At 33.6% G+C, this 16,167-nt stretch overlaps 1 long non-coding RNA gene across 1 annotated transcript, besides 1 other annotated feature; it reads left to right on the top strand.

The window, feature by feature from the left end:
• Positions 1-4,689: 4,689 nt before the first annotated feature.
• LOC105377367 (uncharacterized) lies at positions 4,690-15,348 on the top strand. Its single transcript, XR_939075.2, has 3 exons — positions 4,690-5,561; positions 6,642-6,718; positions 14,116-15,348. It is a non-coding gene; the product is annotated as an uncharacterized LOC105377367 (long non-coding RNA).
• Positions 9,166-9,335: an enhancer, noted in NCBI's record as "experimental_72110 CRE fragment used in MPRA reporter constructs". NCBI's record gives its function as "activates a minimal promoter by MPRAs in K562 erythroleukemia cells, with activity observed for both the introgressed and non-introgressed 4:112632653 variant alleles {active_cell/tissue: K562}" and the evidence as "EXISTENCE:reporter gene assay evidence [ECO:0000049][PMID:34662402]".
• Positions 15,349-16,167: the final 819 nt, after the last annotated feature.

The raw sequence follows: 16,167 nt of genomic DNA, 5'->3' as shown, positions 1-16,167 counted from the left end.
TTAAATGTAAATTTTCTTTGGAATACAATAATCTGTCAATAGGACAAATTGCATTATTTCTTACATAACTCTGTAGTTCTGTTGTCCAAGTAAAGTGGATACATAATATGATTAGTATGAAGTCAAAGTTCATTTTAGTCAAAGATTCAAGGCAAGGAGTTCTCTAGTGAAATTGCCTGGGTTCCAAATCCTAACTCTATCACTTACTTGAAATTTTTAGAAATTTACTTAACTGCCTCAGTTTTCTCATCCATTGTATGTAAATTACAAAAGTGCATTTATTACTGAGTGTTGGGAAGGCCAAGTGTAAAGGACTCTGCCCACTGCCTGGCCAGGGGAAAACACCAGCACATGTTCCCTGCTATTACTATTACTGTGAGTGCAGCATCGCTGAATGCTATCAGGAAGTGTCAGTTATCTCTAATTTATTAAGAGCCCCAATTTTCAAAAAATTAATTATTTTAAAGGAAATCTTTCTGAAATACACCTTACTGTTCTGTTTTTGTTTTTAAGATAAAGACTATCTTGTCTTGGTGACCAGTCTCATCTTAATAGGCATTAATTATTATGGATTTATGATATTGTTAGTAGATATTAAGATATTCAAGAGAGAAATTGCTCTATAATCAAGACAGTGTTAAATACAAATTCTAAAAATATTTCCAGGTTGTCTATGAATTTTACAGACAATAAGTACCATGGGATTGCTATGGATTTGAATGATTAAAGGCTTCATAAATGGAATTTCAGCTGGACCTGAAAAAAATGGACTTGTTTTTACTCATCCTCCAAAGCAGTGAATCCATTGACCCTGTGGGCTCAGGCAGTTTCAGGTGAATGCTCCCCAACAGTCACCTGGGGACAAGCCTATCATTGTCGGAGAAATGGAGGATAGGAGAGCTTCCTAACAATATCAAGCACACATTATATGGCCCCAGAACTCATCTTTGGGACTTGGATAGAGTACTCTAGGTGCTATGTCCCTGTTATCAAACTTCCCCTCTGAAGAAAGCAAATCTTTTTCTCTTCTTCCATCTTGGAGGGCAGTGCTCTGATGAACCAGAGAAGGAAGCGGGGAACCCACAAAAGAAACTAATACATATTTATGTTTCAGGGATGTCAAGCCTTAAGATTAACTCACAGGATGATGTCTGAATTCTGTACTTTTTCAGAGTTTGCTGGAAGTGGATCATATGTTTAAGAGTGAACAGATGTTAAGACGACTCTGCTTTGTTAAAAACTTCTGTTTTGCAGTGAGCAGAAACAGGTTGGGCTAAAAGACTGAACATGAAATAAGCTTCACAAAGAATTTAATGACTGTTGAAGAAGAAGAGAGTACAAACAAATAGGAGAGAGGAGAGGCCAGTGAAAGATCACTGTGGAAAGGGGAAGCAAAGAGCTGGAAGAGCAAAGGCTTCTCTTTCAATTGTTTGCATGTGCAGCCAAACAGCTCTGTACCTTGATGATGGGGGTAGTGCTAGTGCGTAAGCATTAGAAGGCTCCTGTGGTGTTTTTGGAGAAACTCTAAAAATCGTTTTTCTAAATTCAGGTTGACTGTAAGAGGATTTAACTGTGTGTGTATCAAAAAGGCTTTCAGGGATATAAGGATTTTAGAGCACTTGAAATAATCCCTGCAGAGCAGGCAAGAAAATAATATCTTTAGTAGATCTTGATCCAGTAAAAGAGATTATTAAGGAATCACATATAATAGATGCAGTTCAATTTACTGCATTTATACTGAAATTATTTGCTTAGCAAAATTAAGCAATACTTCATGGAATCAGCCTTGTTTACATAAACTTTTTTCAAGTATTGATTTATCATTTGTCTCAGCATATTTGTTACCTTTTTTTTGGAATGTAATTCTATTTTTTAAATAATCTCTCTCTTCTCTCTCTCTCTCTCTCTTTTCCCTCCCTCCCTCCCTCCCTCCCCCCTCTGGCTGTGTCTAGAAGTGGGAAAAAAATGAGTTAATAGCTTGGTCTGAGAGTCTGACAGACTTAGATTCACATTTAACCTCGGGCTAATTGATTGTTCCATACGTATCTTTTGGCACACTACTAAGCTTCTTTGGGCCTCAGTTTCCTGATTAGTAAGCTGAGAATACTCACACATACCTCATAGTTTTATATGTGGTAATATATATAAGGTGCTTAGTATATAGATATTGTGGAATATCTAAAAGCTGGTACTTTTTCATTCTCCAAATGACATTTTTATGATAATGTTGACAGTTTATATTACATATTAATTGTACAAGCAATGTTACTTTTATTTTCTCATTTCTGACCTTGCAGTTTGGTAGAACTTATTATTGTTATTCCCTGTGTACAGATAATAAAGTTTAGCCTCAGAGATTTTCAGTCATTTGCAACTACTAACTAGAATAATTGAATCGAAATTAGATCATCTAATTGTAAGTAACTGAGAATATTTCTGTCTCAGTGGTGTATAGAATGCTCATTATGGGGAATGAGAATGGAAAGAATGACTTTTTTAAAAAAATTTACAGTGATATCTTCTTTTTTAGCTCATTCCCCTGATCCTGTAGTTCTATGGCTAAAACATCTTGTCCTCACCTCGAAAGGCTCACTGACAGCAGCAGGGAGAAATATTCATGCATGAAGAGTGTTGGCAAGCACACCAGGGAAATGAGCCAGCCTTTTCATTGCTGTCCTACCTTAAGGAATGAGACTTTACTGTTGCTCAGATAGTTTTTAAAACTCAGGGACATACCATATAAAATATAATTTAAAGGAGCTATCCAGTCCCCCTGAGATAAGCAAATGGCTATGGGGACTTTAGCCAGCTTAGAAAATAAGGCCAGGACATCTTCAGCCTCATTTATAACCTTGAAGGAAACTGTAGGATGGGGTATTTTATTTGGCTTCCTTTCTACTGGCAGGATGAAAAAACGAAACATTATCAGCTCAGAAGGATTTTTTTCAGGTCTTAAGGATTAACCACTGAAAGGAAAGACAATTTTATTAAAAGTTCTTCACTTTAACCATCTATAAAGGATTGATTTGAACTATGGATTCCAAAAGGTTTTAAATTAGGTGACAGAATCATTTTTCTTTAAAAAATCCACCAGTCAGGGCATGAAACTAAACTCCTTGGGAAAAATAATGCCATATTACTTTTGGTTGAGTATTTTCATACTGAGAACAAGAGTAAAAGTTATACCATCACTTAGAAGAAATAAATGCCATTTTTTTTACTTCAAGCACAAAATGTCACCTATTCTTTATTTTCCCTACATCTACCTTGAGTATTTTTATTTTTTAGAAAATATAAGATAAATGCTTGATTTTAAAAAATTTAGCAGTTTTCAAAATGAGTTAGTTCCCTAGCATTCTCTGAAAGCAACCAATGCATATGAATTTAAACAGGCAATCTATTGCAGTTACTATAATTATGGATACTCACATTGTCCCATTTTTGGCCAGTGGGATCCTCTTTTGTCACCTGAGTTCTTTGAACATGTCCTCAATTGTTTTTGATAGCTTTCTGATCTTCTACCACGCCCATCCTATACATTTCCCACTTCAGAGTTGGAATCAGCTCTTTCTTCAAGGTGTTCTGCTTCTTTCTAGCGTTCAACCATTTTAGAGATTACAGTCGGATGTGAGAGAAACCAACCATTTTCAACTGACCTGTCATTCTAGCTTATATCAAAATTACTTAGACTATTGCAATTGATTATACTTCAAGATCAAACCAAAGTAATTTAGACCAGTGGTTTTCAATTATTTTTGTTATGTGCACTTGTAAGTAAAATGTTTTCATGATATTCTTTCACTGTAGGTACTTTATTATTATATTAATGTACATGATTGAAAGTTAGTAAGAAATAGAAATGGGATTTTATAATTTTTTTGTCATACACCTATATTGTGTTGTAGGGTGTGAGAGGTGCGGGTGTACCCTCCAGGCCAGAGAACACTGATCTAGACTAAGAAGGTCAAACATTACATGTTTTAATTTATGAAGTATCTAATCCTTTCACCTGCTTAAGATTGGTGAACAATTTCCTCTTGCCCGTTTTGAAAATTAAGTCAAGATTTAGTGATGATTCATTATGTGTTTGATAAAATTGAGAAGTACTTGAGATTTAGAAGTAGCAAATTCTGAATGTGCTTTTTCAATGTTTTCTTTTGACTCATAGGTCCATTTAAACTCTTTAGCTGTTGATTTAACTGTTTGGCTCAAGTACTTGTGGGCAAGTAATAAGAAGCTATTATCTGTTAGTCTCCATTTAATTAGTGCTGATTAATATATAAATAAAATCCTCTCATTCCTTCAAACACTAGTGCTTATGTTAAACTGAAATCAGTAGTTTTTTTTTATAGTCCTAGGAGTTTAATAAAATGTTACTTGATCTAAATTAAATTTTGATTTTGGAGAATACTGATTTTTCACTTGTAATGATGGATAGAAGGCCTGTAGAAAATAGTTCTTGGGATTTTATTTTAAATTGGGATCCATTCCACTATAAAAATAATAATATTTAACTAATTTCATTACCTAGGTGTGTACTATACACTATTAGAGAATAAAAAACCTTTTTTCTTTACTAGATTTTGAAGCACACTAACGTATCTTAGTTCAAAACAGTATGCTCTTTATTTTGTTACTATAGTTTTAAAGTAATTAAGTTTATGTAGTTCAAGGGTGTATACTCTATCTCAAATATAAGACACAGTTATGGTGAAAAATTATCTTTACTGTATTTTGAAATATGAAGTATATTAGATTAATGTGCTAATAAGCATCACTCACATTTTGTCCTTGAGGTTTTGTTTTGTTTGCTCTGTAATCCATGGTTGGCAAACTGTGAAGAACAAGATAATAAATATTTTATGTTAGGCTTTGTGGACCATACAGTATCTATTTCAACTACTAAACTTTGCTGTTAAAGCATGAAAGTAGCCATAGACAATATATAAATGAATGACTTTTGTTGTGTTCAAATGAAGCTTTATCTGTGGAAACTGAAATTTGAATTTTATGTAATTTTCACTATCACTAAATATTTTTCTTCTTGTAATCTTTTTCTCCAACCATTTAGAAATATAAAAACCATTCCTAGCCTGCAGGCCATAGATAAACATTTGGTGGGCTAGATTTGACCTGGGGACCATAGTTTGCCCATGCGTTGGATAGTCTACAGAACACAGTCCACCGATTGAAGTTTATATTTGGTTATTACTTTAAGAGAACTCAGAGAAGTTGAAAATTTAAGTCGTTGAGAGTGTAGGAGATTGTCTCAATAGCGATCACTGATGGTCAATTTCAATTATCTAAAGATTTTAGGAAATAAGTATAAATTTGAATCCCTTCTAGCCTCAACTATAGTGTTAGTCTTTTCTCTATAATTTTCTTGTTTTATTTTTTATTTTTATTTATTTATTTTTGAAACAGGGTCTTGCTCTGTCACCAGGGCTAGAGTGGAGTGGTGGAACACAGCTCGCTGAAGCCTCGACTTGCCAGACTCAAGCAATGCTCCTGCCTCAGCCTCCAGAGTATAAATTTGAATCCCTTCTAGCCTCAACTATAGTGTTAGTCTTTTCTCTATAATTTTCTTGTTTTATTTTTTATTTTTATTTATTTATTTTTGAAACAGGGTCTTGCTCTGTCACCAGGGCTAGAGTGGAGTGGTGGAACACAGCTCGCTGAAGCCTCGACTTGCCAGACTCAAGCAATGCTCCTGCCTCAGCCTCCAGAGTAGCTGGGACCCCAGGCAGGTGCCACCACGCCTGGCTAATTTTTTGTATTTTTTGTAGAGATGGGGTTTTGCCATGTTGCCCAGGCTGGTCTGGAATTCCTGGGCTCAAGCAATCTGCCCACCTTGGCCTCCCAAAGTGTGGGGATTACAGGCGTTAGCCACCCCGTCCAGCCAATTTTCTTGTTTTAAAGAGGTTATTTTTCTCTACTCACATGCATGAAGTGAATTATAAGATTAGGATTATACATGGAAATCAGCTGAAATGGTCAGCAAGACTAATTTTATTTTATTTTATTTTTTACTCCTGCAGAAAAAAACTTACACAGATAATTCCTTGGAATTTAGAGTAATAACTAACAATATACTAACACTTTGATTTTTGCTGACTTTAATTTGCCCTTGACAGCAGCTTGTGAGGCAGATGTGATTATTATCTCATTTTAAAAAAAATTAGTGGTTAAGAAGTTCGAATCAGGGCTTGAACTACTTTGAATTCCAAAGCTTGGTCTCTGCCACTGTAAATGTATTTTATATATATATATATGCGGGGTTATATATAAAATATATATATTTTATATATATATGTGGGGTTGTGTGTTCATGTACATATGCACATATTAATACATATCCATGTACACATTACCAACATATGTAACAGATTTAAAATTACCTCTTATTACTCATTTGAAAATAAATTGGGAAACATTGCAGATAATTTATTATACAAACATGAAATAGGAAATTTAAGGTAACTCCTTTCTTTAGTAATTTTTAAGAACACTTTCTCCTAAATTTATATAATTGAGAATCTTAAGCCAGTATCTGAATCATCATCAATACTGAAACTAGGATCCTCAGAGTTTACCTTAAAAAAATAAAGCTTTTATTTATCTTTTCTCTCCTCCTACTTTAGAAGATATTTATCTAGAGAATAATCGAGGAAAGTTGAGATAGAGACAATCAGATCAGATGAAAGGGACATCAGGAAAGGTGAGTTAAAAATATCTGATTATTTCCCTTAGGAATTCAATGGAAACACACTAGAAAATTATTTGTTAGGGCCCAGATTCTAATTTTATATTGATTTAAGAGAATTCTGTTGAACTTTATGCTGCTATGTAATTTAATAGCACCCTTATGATGTATGCTTTATGGCAATATTTTTCAAACTGTGAGCCATGACACATAAGTGGGTCATGAAATCAATATGGCAACTGTGGTCAGCTTAAAAATGATAGAATAAAAAATGTGAGCGTGCATTGCACTAAATAAGGATAAGTATTGTTTCACAAGATGTTTGTTAAGCTGCGGATGTTTAGTTGTATTTCTGTGAATGTGCTTTCAAGCTTTAATGTAAAATGGATTTCTTACTGTGGGTGGTGGGCCGGACCCTTAGAAGCCCCTGCTTTATGGTGGGGGTAACCCCCTTTTCCATCCCTGAATGCAGTTTGTTCTTTCAGTTCAAACTTAGACTACAGCTCTATTTACAGAGTAGTAAGTGATCAAGAACTTGATTTAGAGGGCATTTGATTTAAAATGTTTGCCTTCTTTTGTCATTTACATTTAGCTATACTGAGCAAGAAAATCCCAGATTCAGACGTTTGGACAGAGCTGTTTTAATGATAGTTTATGCAAATATGGGCAGATGCTTAGAAGAGTCACAGGGAGAAAAAAATGGAAATAGAGACAAAAACATATACGGATACACACAGTTAGAAATTCACAAAAAACACACTTTAGGGCTTATATACTAATGAAGGATATATAGGATGACAGAAAAAGTTCTGTATTTACTAAAATAATAATCTGGATTAACTATACTTTTCCATAGGCAACATGTTTATTTCCATATGAAACTTTAAACCAGTTTTTCCAAGACTTTTAGCTTTCTGAGATCAATAAAAATAAAACTGGGAAGACAGGCAGCATAGCTTCAAAATTTTCATTTTGTCAAGATAAAAAATCAAATGGTTTCTTTTAATTAGCCTCTTTTATTTGTATAAAGCACATTTTTTATGTTAACTTAATTTTTATTTATTTTTTTATTTTAGGGGGTACATATGTAGGATGGTTACATGGATATATTGTGTGATGCTGAGGTTTGGGCTTCCACTGAACCTGTCACCCAAATAGTGAACACAGTACACAATAGATTCAACCTTTGCCCCCTAGGATCCCTCCCCCTTTATGGAATCCCCAGTGTCTATTGTTCCCACCTTATAAAGGGTATTTTAAAAGTGAAAAAGTACAAATTACAAAAAAAAAAAATACAGTTGATTTTATTTAAAATTCACTATGTTGTCCTTTTTTTCTTTTTTCTCATTTCACCAAACACTGAAAGAAACTCAAGTTTCATCTGGTAATCACTGCTTTAAATTTTGTTCCAACATTGTGGAAAGGGTGTGTCTGCCAGCCTGTCTATCTAGGTTTCTATTCAAAAGAGGAAACACAAGACCTTGGGAACATGTGGAAACGTTAAATTAAAACTATACATTAACTGGCTTCCAGCATCTGAGGGAAAGGGTGGTTCTCAAGTAGATTAGCATTTGCAGAGAGAAGCACGCGGTTAGTCAAACATGGTGATGGATAGCTGGTTGATTCTCTGTGTTCTTTGCTGCTCTATTCTTTTCTCCAAATTACTGCCTAGAATTTCCCAGTATCTCTCTGTTTATTGGACTATGCTTTCATTGAAATGTTAAACTCTAAAAATGACATAAATCACAGAAGGTAGCTAAAAAGGTTTAATTGATGACATTTTATGTCCTATTAACTCCTCTATAAATTTGTCTGTCATCACCTTGAGATAACTGACATAATTGGGATTATCATCTCAACACTTTGGAAATTCTTTTTTCTAAATCATTTTTATAATCATCTTGATTACCACTCTTACATATACAAGAGGGTATAGTTCTAGAATTAGGTAATTTAAATTATTATTTGCTTTGGTATATTAAATCATTCAAAACATTTTCTTTGGTCTGCCTTCTTTCTTTACCCAATTATCTGTGGAGCCAATACCTCACACAGGGTTTTAGATCTTTCTCTTTCTATCTGGAACTTAGAATATAAGATTCTATTTAAAAAATCAAAATGCAATTCACATTCAATTATTATTGTTAAAAACAGTACATAAAACATACAGCAACCACATGTCAGCAGTAGCACTATTATTTTTCAAGTCTTTTAAGTTTTTGGATTCTATGGAAAACTGATGAGGGGGGCTTACTTGACTAATATCCCGGTATTCAGCAAAATCACATGTGTATTTTCTATAAAGATTGCATACGGATTTCATAAAACTGTGTAACTGCCTAAGGAGGACAAGGCTGTCCTTGTCAATCTGTCTCAGATATGTTGATGGATGTGCACTGAGTTCTGCTAGCATGCTAAAAATGTCCTTGTTCCAGCACTCACTGACTCACTAGATCATCCATGAGTTGGTGAGCATCTCCTCCTAGATCCTTCAAAGAACTGTACAGATCATGCAGTCAATACAGGACTTGGGGATTAGATTGGGAAAGTTTGTGTTGCAGATATTTCAATGCGACTGTCATTCTAAGAAAATCCTGCCCTAGACTTTCAGCAATTGTTCAAAACCTGTCTCAGTCATTGGTAAATTGTCACTGTCACACTGTTCTTACAATGTTGGCTTCACTGTCAGTGGCAGATTAGGAAGAAAGCCCTGGGAAGCAAACCACAGATGCATTTGTCTTTAAGCTTTAAGAGTGAATTTTAACACATAGTGTATCTTAATTTAAATCCAAGTGGGATCAGTGGCGGATCAAATTTCTTTTGCTTTCACATTCATCTTACAAAGCTGTTTTTAGAAGGAAAATGATTAGATCTAGACCTCTTCACTGGCCATCTTATGGTATTTGAAGTTGAAAAGTCACTCAGTGATTATGAATGGAAGAGCATCTGATAACCTCAGCAACTGAAAGGAAAGAGTAGTTGATGAAAGCTTATGGCTACATGCTCTTTCTTCCTCCATCCCAATTGGATAGTTGATCAGTTTTCACTTATTTTTCTCATATACAATCACAGACACCATTTCTATTCTCTAAGGAATCAATATGGTCTCAATGGAGTACAGGAGTTTTGGGATATTTTAATGACTGGAAGTCTTAAATAATAAAACCATATTTAAAAATCATTATAAACACCTTGCAAAAATAATCTTTAAGATTGTTTTGAAAACATAAAGGTTAAGAATGTTAAGATGATGGGCTGGGTACAGTGGCTCATGCCTATGATCCCAGCACTTTGAGAGGCTGAGGTGGGAGGATCACTTGAGGCCAGGAGTTCCAGACCAGCCTGGCCAACATAGACTCCTCTCTCTAAAAATATTAAATAATAATATAAAGAAAAAGCTGTAATATATCTACCTTAGGCAGCCACATTAACTATCCTGGCTATGTTGGCCAGGGAGATTAATGTCTTTAACTGAAGAATTTTTATTATCTAAAAATATTAAAAATAAAAAGAATATAATTAATTTACTAACTAAGCATCAAGAATTTATTGAGTGCCTATATTTACCAGATTTAATCCTTGTGATACACACAGGTGAGTAAGAAGTAGTCCCTTCTTCAAGGCCAGTAACTTCAGTGATAGAGATTGATATTAGACATTACAAAAGCATTTGATATGAAGACGTAACCTGATCAAGGGAGTTCAACAATTAAGGAAGTTTATTTTACTTTTGAAATTTCCTGGGATTGCTTCCCTTTGTCAATAGCTACTCTCTATTCTTTTTTTCCAAAGTGTAGATCAAATTTTCTGCATTAAGTGTGATGAGGTACTAGTCTCAACACTACCAGAAAATCTCATCTTGTGCAAAATATAGTAGGGCAAAAAATGTACTACAGTGTAATGCAAAATACTGGCCTATGTGCCAGTCACTTAATCTTTCTATGCCAAGCTACCCATAAAATAGAGATAATACTTTCCTAAGTATCAGAATTATTGTGGACATATTATATGAAAACTAATGCTATGTAGTATACAAAAAGGGTTTAAGACTATTAAGCAAGATTGTAAGAAAAATCTTAGAAAACAGAGAAGTTGGTTTGTAAAATTTTAATACTGCAAGAAAGTCATTGTTTTTCCCTTTTACTTCGAAAACAGTGTTCATGCCTATGAATTAGAAAATTGTAACATTATTTTCGCTGTTTAAAAATCTCTCTGCTATGCATTTATCATTTAGTTCTATATGGAAAGATAGTCTAATTTTTATGCACAAGTACTGTAGACATGTAAGTGAAAGGAATTATTCTTCCAGTATATAAAATTTATCATTGCACAGCCATTCTGACATAGTGAAAGTAACACTGGACTAAGAATTTAAAACTTGGCTTAGAGTTCTTAATCCATGATTGTTTGTGTTACCCTGCCTGAGTTTTGGTTTACTCTTCTAGAGAGAATAGGGATAATAATTATTTTTCTATTTACCTTATTAACTAGTTGGGAAGAATAATTGAACAAAGCCTGAAATGCCATATAAGTTGTGTCTGGAATTGCAATAGCTGGGCATATGTTGAATTAAAATGTATGTGGTAAATGCAACTTTTCTAGAATGTGCAATTACTTCTAATAATAGAAGCTTCCCTGGCATTTTCTACACGTGAAATATTTGTGCAGGAATAAGAGCCATAATTTTCATTGCCTTTTCATGAGTCCTAGGAGGCAAGAGTCTCTCTGCAAAGCTCATAGATATGTCTGCCTGAGGACAGAACTGCTGCCAAAGAAGTTAGTATTTAGCCTTGTCCTTGGAGATGTTCAAGCTGCACAGCCCTCTATTCCTCAGAGGTCATTTATTTTAAATATATTAAATGTGAACATGATATATTCACATGTTCTGGACAGAAACAAATGGACCTTTTTTAGCATCAAGGAAAGTTGATGAATCTAGATCATAACAATCTAACAGTCTAGAAAGTTACAGAATCTAGATATTAGGGAAGATACTTGAACAATATTTTATGAGGATCAGGAAAAGAAGAAAGCAGAAATGATCATCTATAACTAAAGCTAAGCTCCTTGCTGTGAAATAATTGCATGATGTACTTTAAGGGAAGCATCTTAGTTTATATTATAACAATGCCATAAATGTGATTAGGTAGAAGAAAGAGGCTTTGAATGGCTGATCCCTATTAAATATAAACCAAAACAATTTCTGCTCACACAGAGGGTGGTAGCTCTTAATTATCCACCAGTTCCATAGCTCTCCACAATAGGACAATCAGCTACTCTCTAGTTCTATATCTTAGTAGCACTCTTTGAAATTATTGATTGTACTTATTATTATTTGAAATAATCCTGTGAAGTTATTTATTCATTCGTTGTTAGTCTTGTTCTCTCTATCCATCATACCTAGAAGAGTGGCAGGCACTTAAGAGGCAATCCTTTATTACTGTTGAATGACTGAGTGAAAAATGACCTCTGTAACAATATCAACCTCACCTATGGCAGACTTAAGTCTGTAAGCTGTGATATTTACTTGTGTGTACGGCTTCCCTGTTATGAAGTTTTTAAGGAAAGAAATGGTAATTTTATTCATCCTTATATTGCTACACAGCCTTAACCTAATGCCTTGTACTGGTAAAGCCATAAATACATGAATATAAATACATTTGTTTAAACATAATTCTGGCATTATTTTGGTATACAAACATATAAAAGAGTAATAAAATATTTTAGTAAATACAGTTTTTGGCCGGGCATGGTGGCTTACACCTGTAATCTGAGCACTCTGGGAGGCTGAGGCTGGCAGGTTATTGAGGTCAGGAGTTTGAGACCAGGCCAACCAACATGGTGAAAGCCTGTCTCTACTAAAAATACAAAAAATTAGCCAGGTGTGGTGGTGGGCACCTCTAGTCCCTGCCACTCAGGAGACTGAGGTACGAGAATCACTTGAACCTGGCAGGCAGAGGTTGCAGTGAACCGAGATTGCACCACTGCACTCCAGCCTGGGCAACAGAGTGGACTCTGTCTCAAAAAAAAAAAAATTAATAATTAAAAAACATAAATAAATACAGTTTTTCATTATTCCTTTTTAGAAAACTCTTCTCTAAGCAAAATTCAATTTTAAATGATTTGTATTAAAATTATGTAAGTTATTTTGAGTCTCATTTTTACAAATTTAGTTCTTTTTATGGATACTTTAATATAAACATTTGCCCTTAACATCATTTAAGTTTATGAGATACTTTAAACACAGTTTAGGAGTAGATAATCTGCTGTCAGGTGACAGATAATGAAAATGATAGTCTATGACTTAGCTGGGGTTTGTACATTTCATATTCTGATTTTCCATATTTCTGCTAAGATTTCTTTAACAGTCCAGTTTCAGTTTCACATGTTCCCACACTGTCATTTGGTACTTATTGGGCATGACAGACTTTGTTGAAATGAATAATCTCAAAGGACATCCAAATATTTCTTTTACTCTATGTAACTATCAGCTTAAATCTAAATTATTTTCTTTTTATAGGCATGTTATTCAACAAACAATTTAGTGGTCACATTTTTCCTATGATATATTTTCTAGTTTATAAGTATTTAAGCAGTGTATATGATTTTTAGTTTGATGGTGGTGTTTTACCACCATGATGCTATGACATAGGATAGTTAAGAGAAAAATCAACAATTCTAAATTATATCAAATGACTACATAATGGAAGAAATTATAAATTTTTAAGGCCTCCACCAGAAAAGTTGTGAAATATCAAAAGAGTTAGAATACTCACTTTAATGGATAACAGGGAAACTTTATGTAAATTGTGGGAAAAATACCTTTAGAATCATAAAAATTTTAAATGTGTAGGGTAAGTATGTGTGTATATTCTTCTATGGGGGACAAAGAAGAAGCAAACAAAGAATGTGGTTAAATTTTGTAATAAATATATATATATATGTATATATATATATATATACAGTTATTTGTCAACTTAAAATTTTATCTTTACTGATTTATAATTTTAAAAATTGCATTGTAAATCTAAGTGATTTTAAGCTTAGCTAACACTCTACCACTTGTGACCACTTCTTTTGAGAAGGGAAAGATGTTTCAAAATTAGAAGAATGTCATTAAATAGGTCTAAGTCCTTTAAGTGGCCAAACTTCAGAAAATTCTGTTCTAACCCTTCATATAAAGCTCAGCAGTTAAACAAAAGGTATTTTCTCTCTTACTCTCCTTTTGCTAATTCCTTATCCATTTAAGTTTTCTCTAGAAGATGGAAGATTTTACTGTTTTCTTTGGATAACTTAGAATTATCTGTATTATATATGGTAAAAGATAATAAATTACCTTGTTAAGTGAACTTTTTGATAAATTAACCCAATGTCAGTAAGTAAACACTGGGTCTTTTTTTTTTCTTTTGAAGGCATTGTGATATGGAAGACCCCAACAAGCCCAATATCATAATTAATTTCAAAGACCGTGAGAGAGTGGTAAAACTACCAGGCAACTGATTCAGCAGGGCTGCCACACTGATGTAGCTTCTTGGCTTTATTCCAACCCTTAACATTTTTTTCCCCCTAAACTAGAAAATAGTTCAGAAAACTTACATATATTGTATCCCTGCTTTTGCATTTACTCTGGAGAAGACTACCATTTTGTTCTACATAGCACTTATATTTCTATGTTATGTATGTTTCTATGTAATTTCTATGAAGTGAGTATTTCATTCATGATTAGTTTTTCCACTATTTCGTTTGCACTAATTTTTTTTCTGTCTTCTTCAACCTACTGTTCGTTTATTAAGTAATCTCGACTGTCTGTGTCATCTTTAGTCCTTCTTCAGTCCTACAACTTCTTTTCAATACTGCAGTCATGATGATCCTTAAAATTGAGAGGATCATATCGCTTCTAATTTAAAACTCCCTAGTGGCTTCCCTTGAGATTTCTACAAGATTCTATTTTTTCCCACTGATAAAACATTAAGCTTCCTTTATTGATTGCTACAGGATCAATTTTGAAAATAATTCATATATATTTTAAAAAATGCACTTTCTCCATTTGTTAGGTAATGGTTCTACATATATCTGTTAAATCAAGATTGTTAATTGTGTTGTTTTAACCTACATCCCTACTAATATTCTATGTATTTTCGGAAAGAAGTATGTGGAAATCCAAGGTGTTACCTATTTTTTATTTTCTTCTTGTTATTTTTGTCAGGTTTTGGCCTTGATGTTTGAGACTTTATTTTAAGAAATATTCATACTTATGATTGTTATGTCTTTTTAGACCATTGTTTCCTTTATGAATGAATAAGATCATGTTTTATCCTTATTCATATTTTTTGTCTTTTATTTCTATCAAAGCGTTGTTTTGGTAAATATTTGCCTGGTCTTATTCCCCATCATTTTATGTTAACATTTCTGTCTCATTGTGTTATAAACTTGTCTTTGGTAAATATAGTGATGTTGTAGGTAATCCAGTATCAGAATTTTGACTTTAATGTTTAATTGATTTTCATATATTCTAATTGTTAATGTGTTTGATTATAATTCTATTACCTTATGCTATGTTTTTCCTGGATTTTTATTTGTTATTGTTGTTTTATTGTTTTATCTCTCTTTCTCTGAATTGTTCTCCTCCACTTCATGCCTGTGATTTGGAAGTTTAAAAGGTCTCTCTCTATATATCTATATCTATATATCTATATATCATTATATATAATGCATATTATAAATATAAACTGTATAAAGTATTTTCTATATATACTGTATCTACATATATATTTAATTGAACAATGTATAAACTTCATCCTCAATCTTCCTCCTGATTTTGTCACTTTGTTTATTCATTTAAACATTTTATTGACACTTATTTTAAAGTCGTTTTTAGATTGCCCTTCTATTTTGGGTGTGAGACTTCTTGGTTTTTGAATGTATTGACTCTCTCGTGATATATTTCTGCCTCTTGCTGTTACAAATTTTAATTGTATATTCTTCGGTGAAAATTGCCAACTTGTGGGAGTCCTGTGCATGACCTAAGTTGTAGAGGCAGCAATTATCCCCCCAAGTTTATTTCTGTCTTATCCATACGGGTTTAATTGATTCTTGATCAGCTATTTTGTTTTTCTTCTTGATAAGGGGTTTATTGGGTTTCTTTACCTTATAGATAAGTGTGTGCTTGGGCTCTACGCTTTCTGTGCAGGGCAGTCATTTTTTTGAACTCATGGCCCATAGTATGTGGCCTACATCTGTGCTACATCTCCATGCCAGTGTACAGATTTATTTATTTTTTTCTAATTTACTTACTCTAGTTCCCATTTCACGGAAGAGACAGCTCATTCTGGTCCCTAGATTTGTGGATAGACATTGGCTTGTAAGTTCTAGCTTCTTACCTGGTGCAAGATCTCTAGTGTTGGCTCTTACCCTCAGTTATTCATGAAAATCCCAGCCTCTGCTTGTATATGTGGTCCTGAAAC

Source organism: Homo sapiens, chromosome 4 (genome assembly GCF_000001405.40).
Source record: "Homo sapiens chromosome 4, GRCh38.p14 Primary Assembly".
Classification (NCBI taxonomy): Eukaryota; Metazoa; Chordata; class Mammalia; order Primates; family Hominidae; genus Homo; species Homo sapiens.
This window is presented reverse-complemented; position numbering and strand designations above follow the sequence as displayed.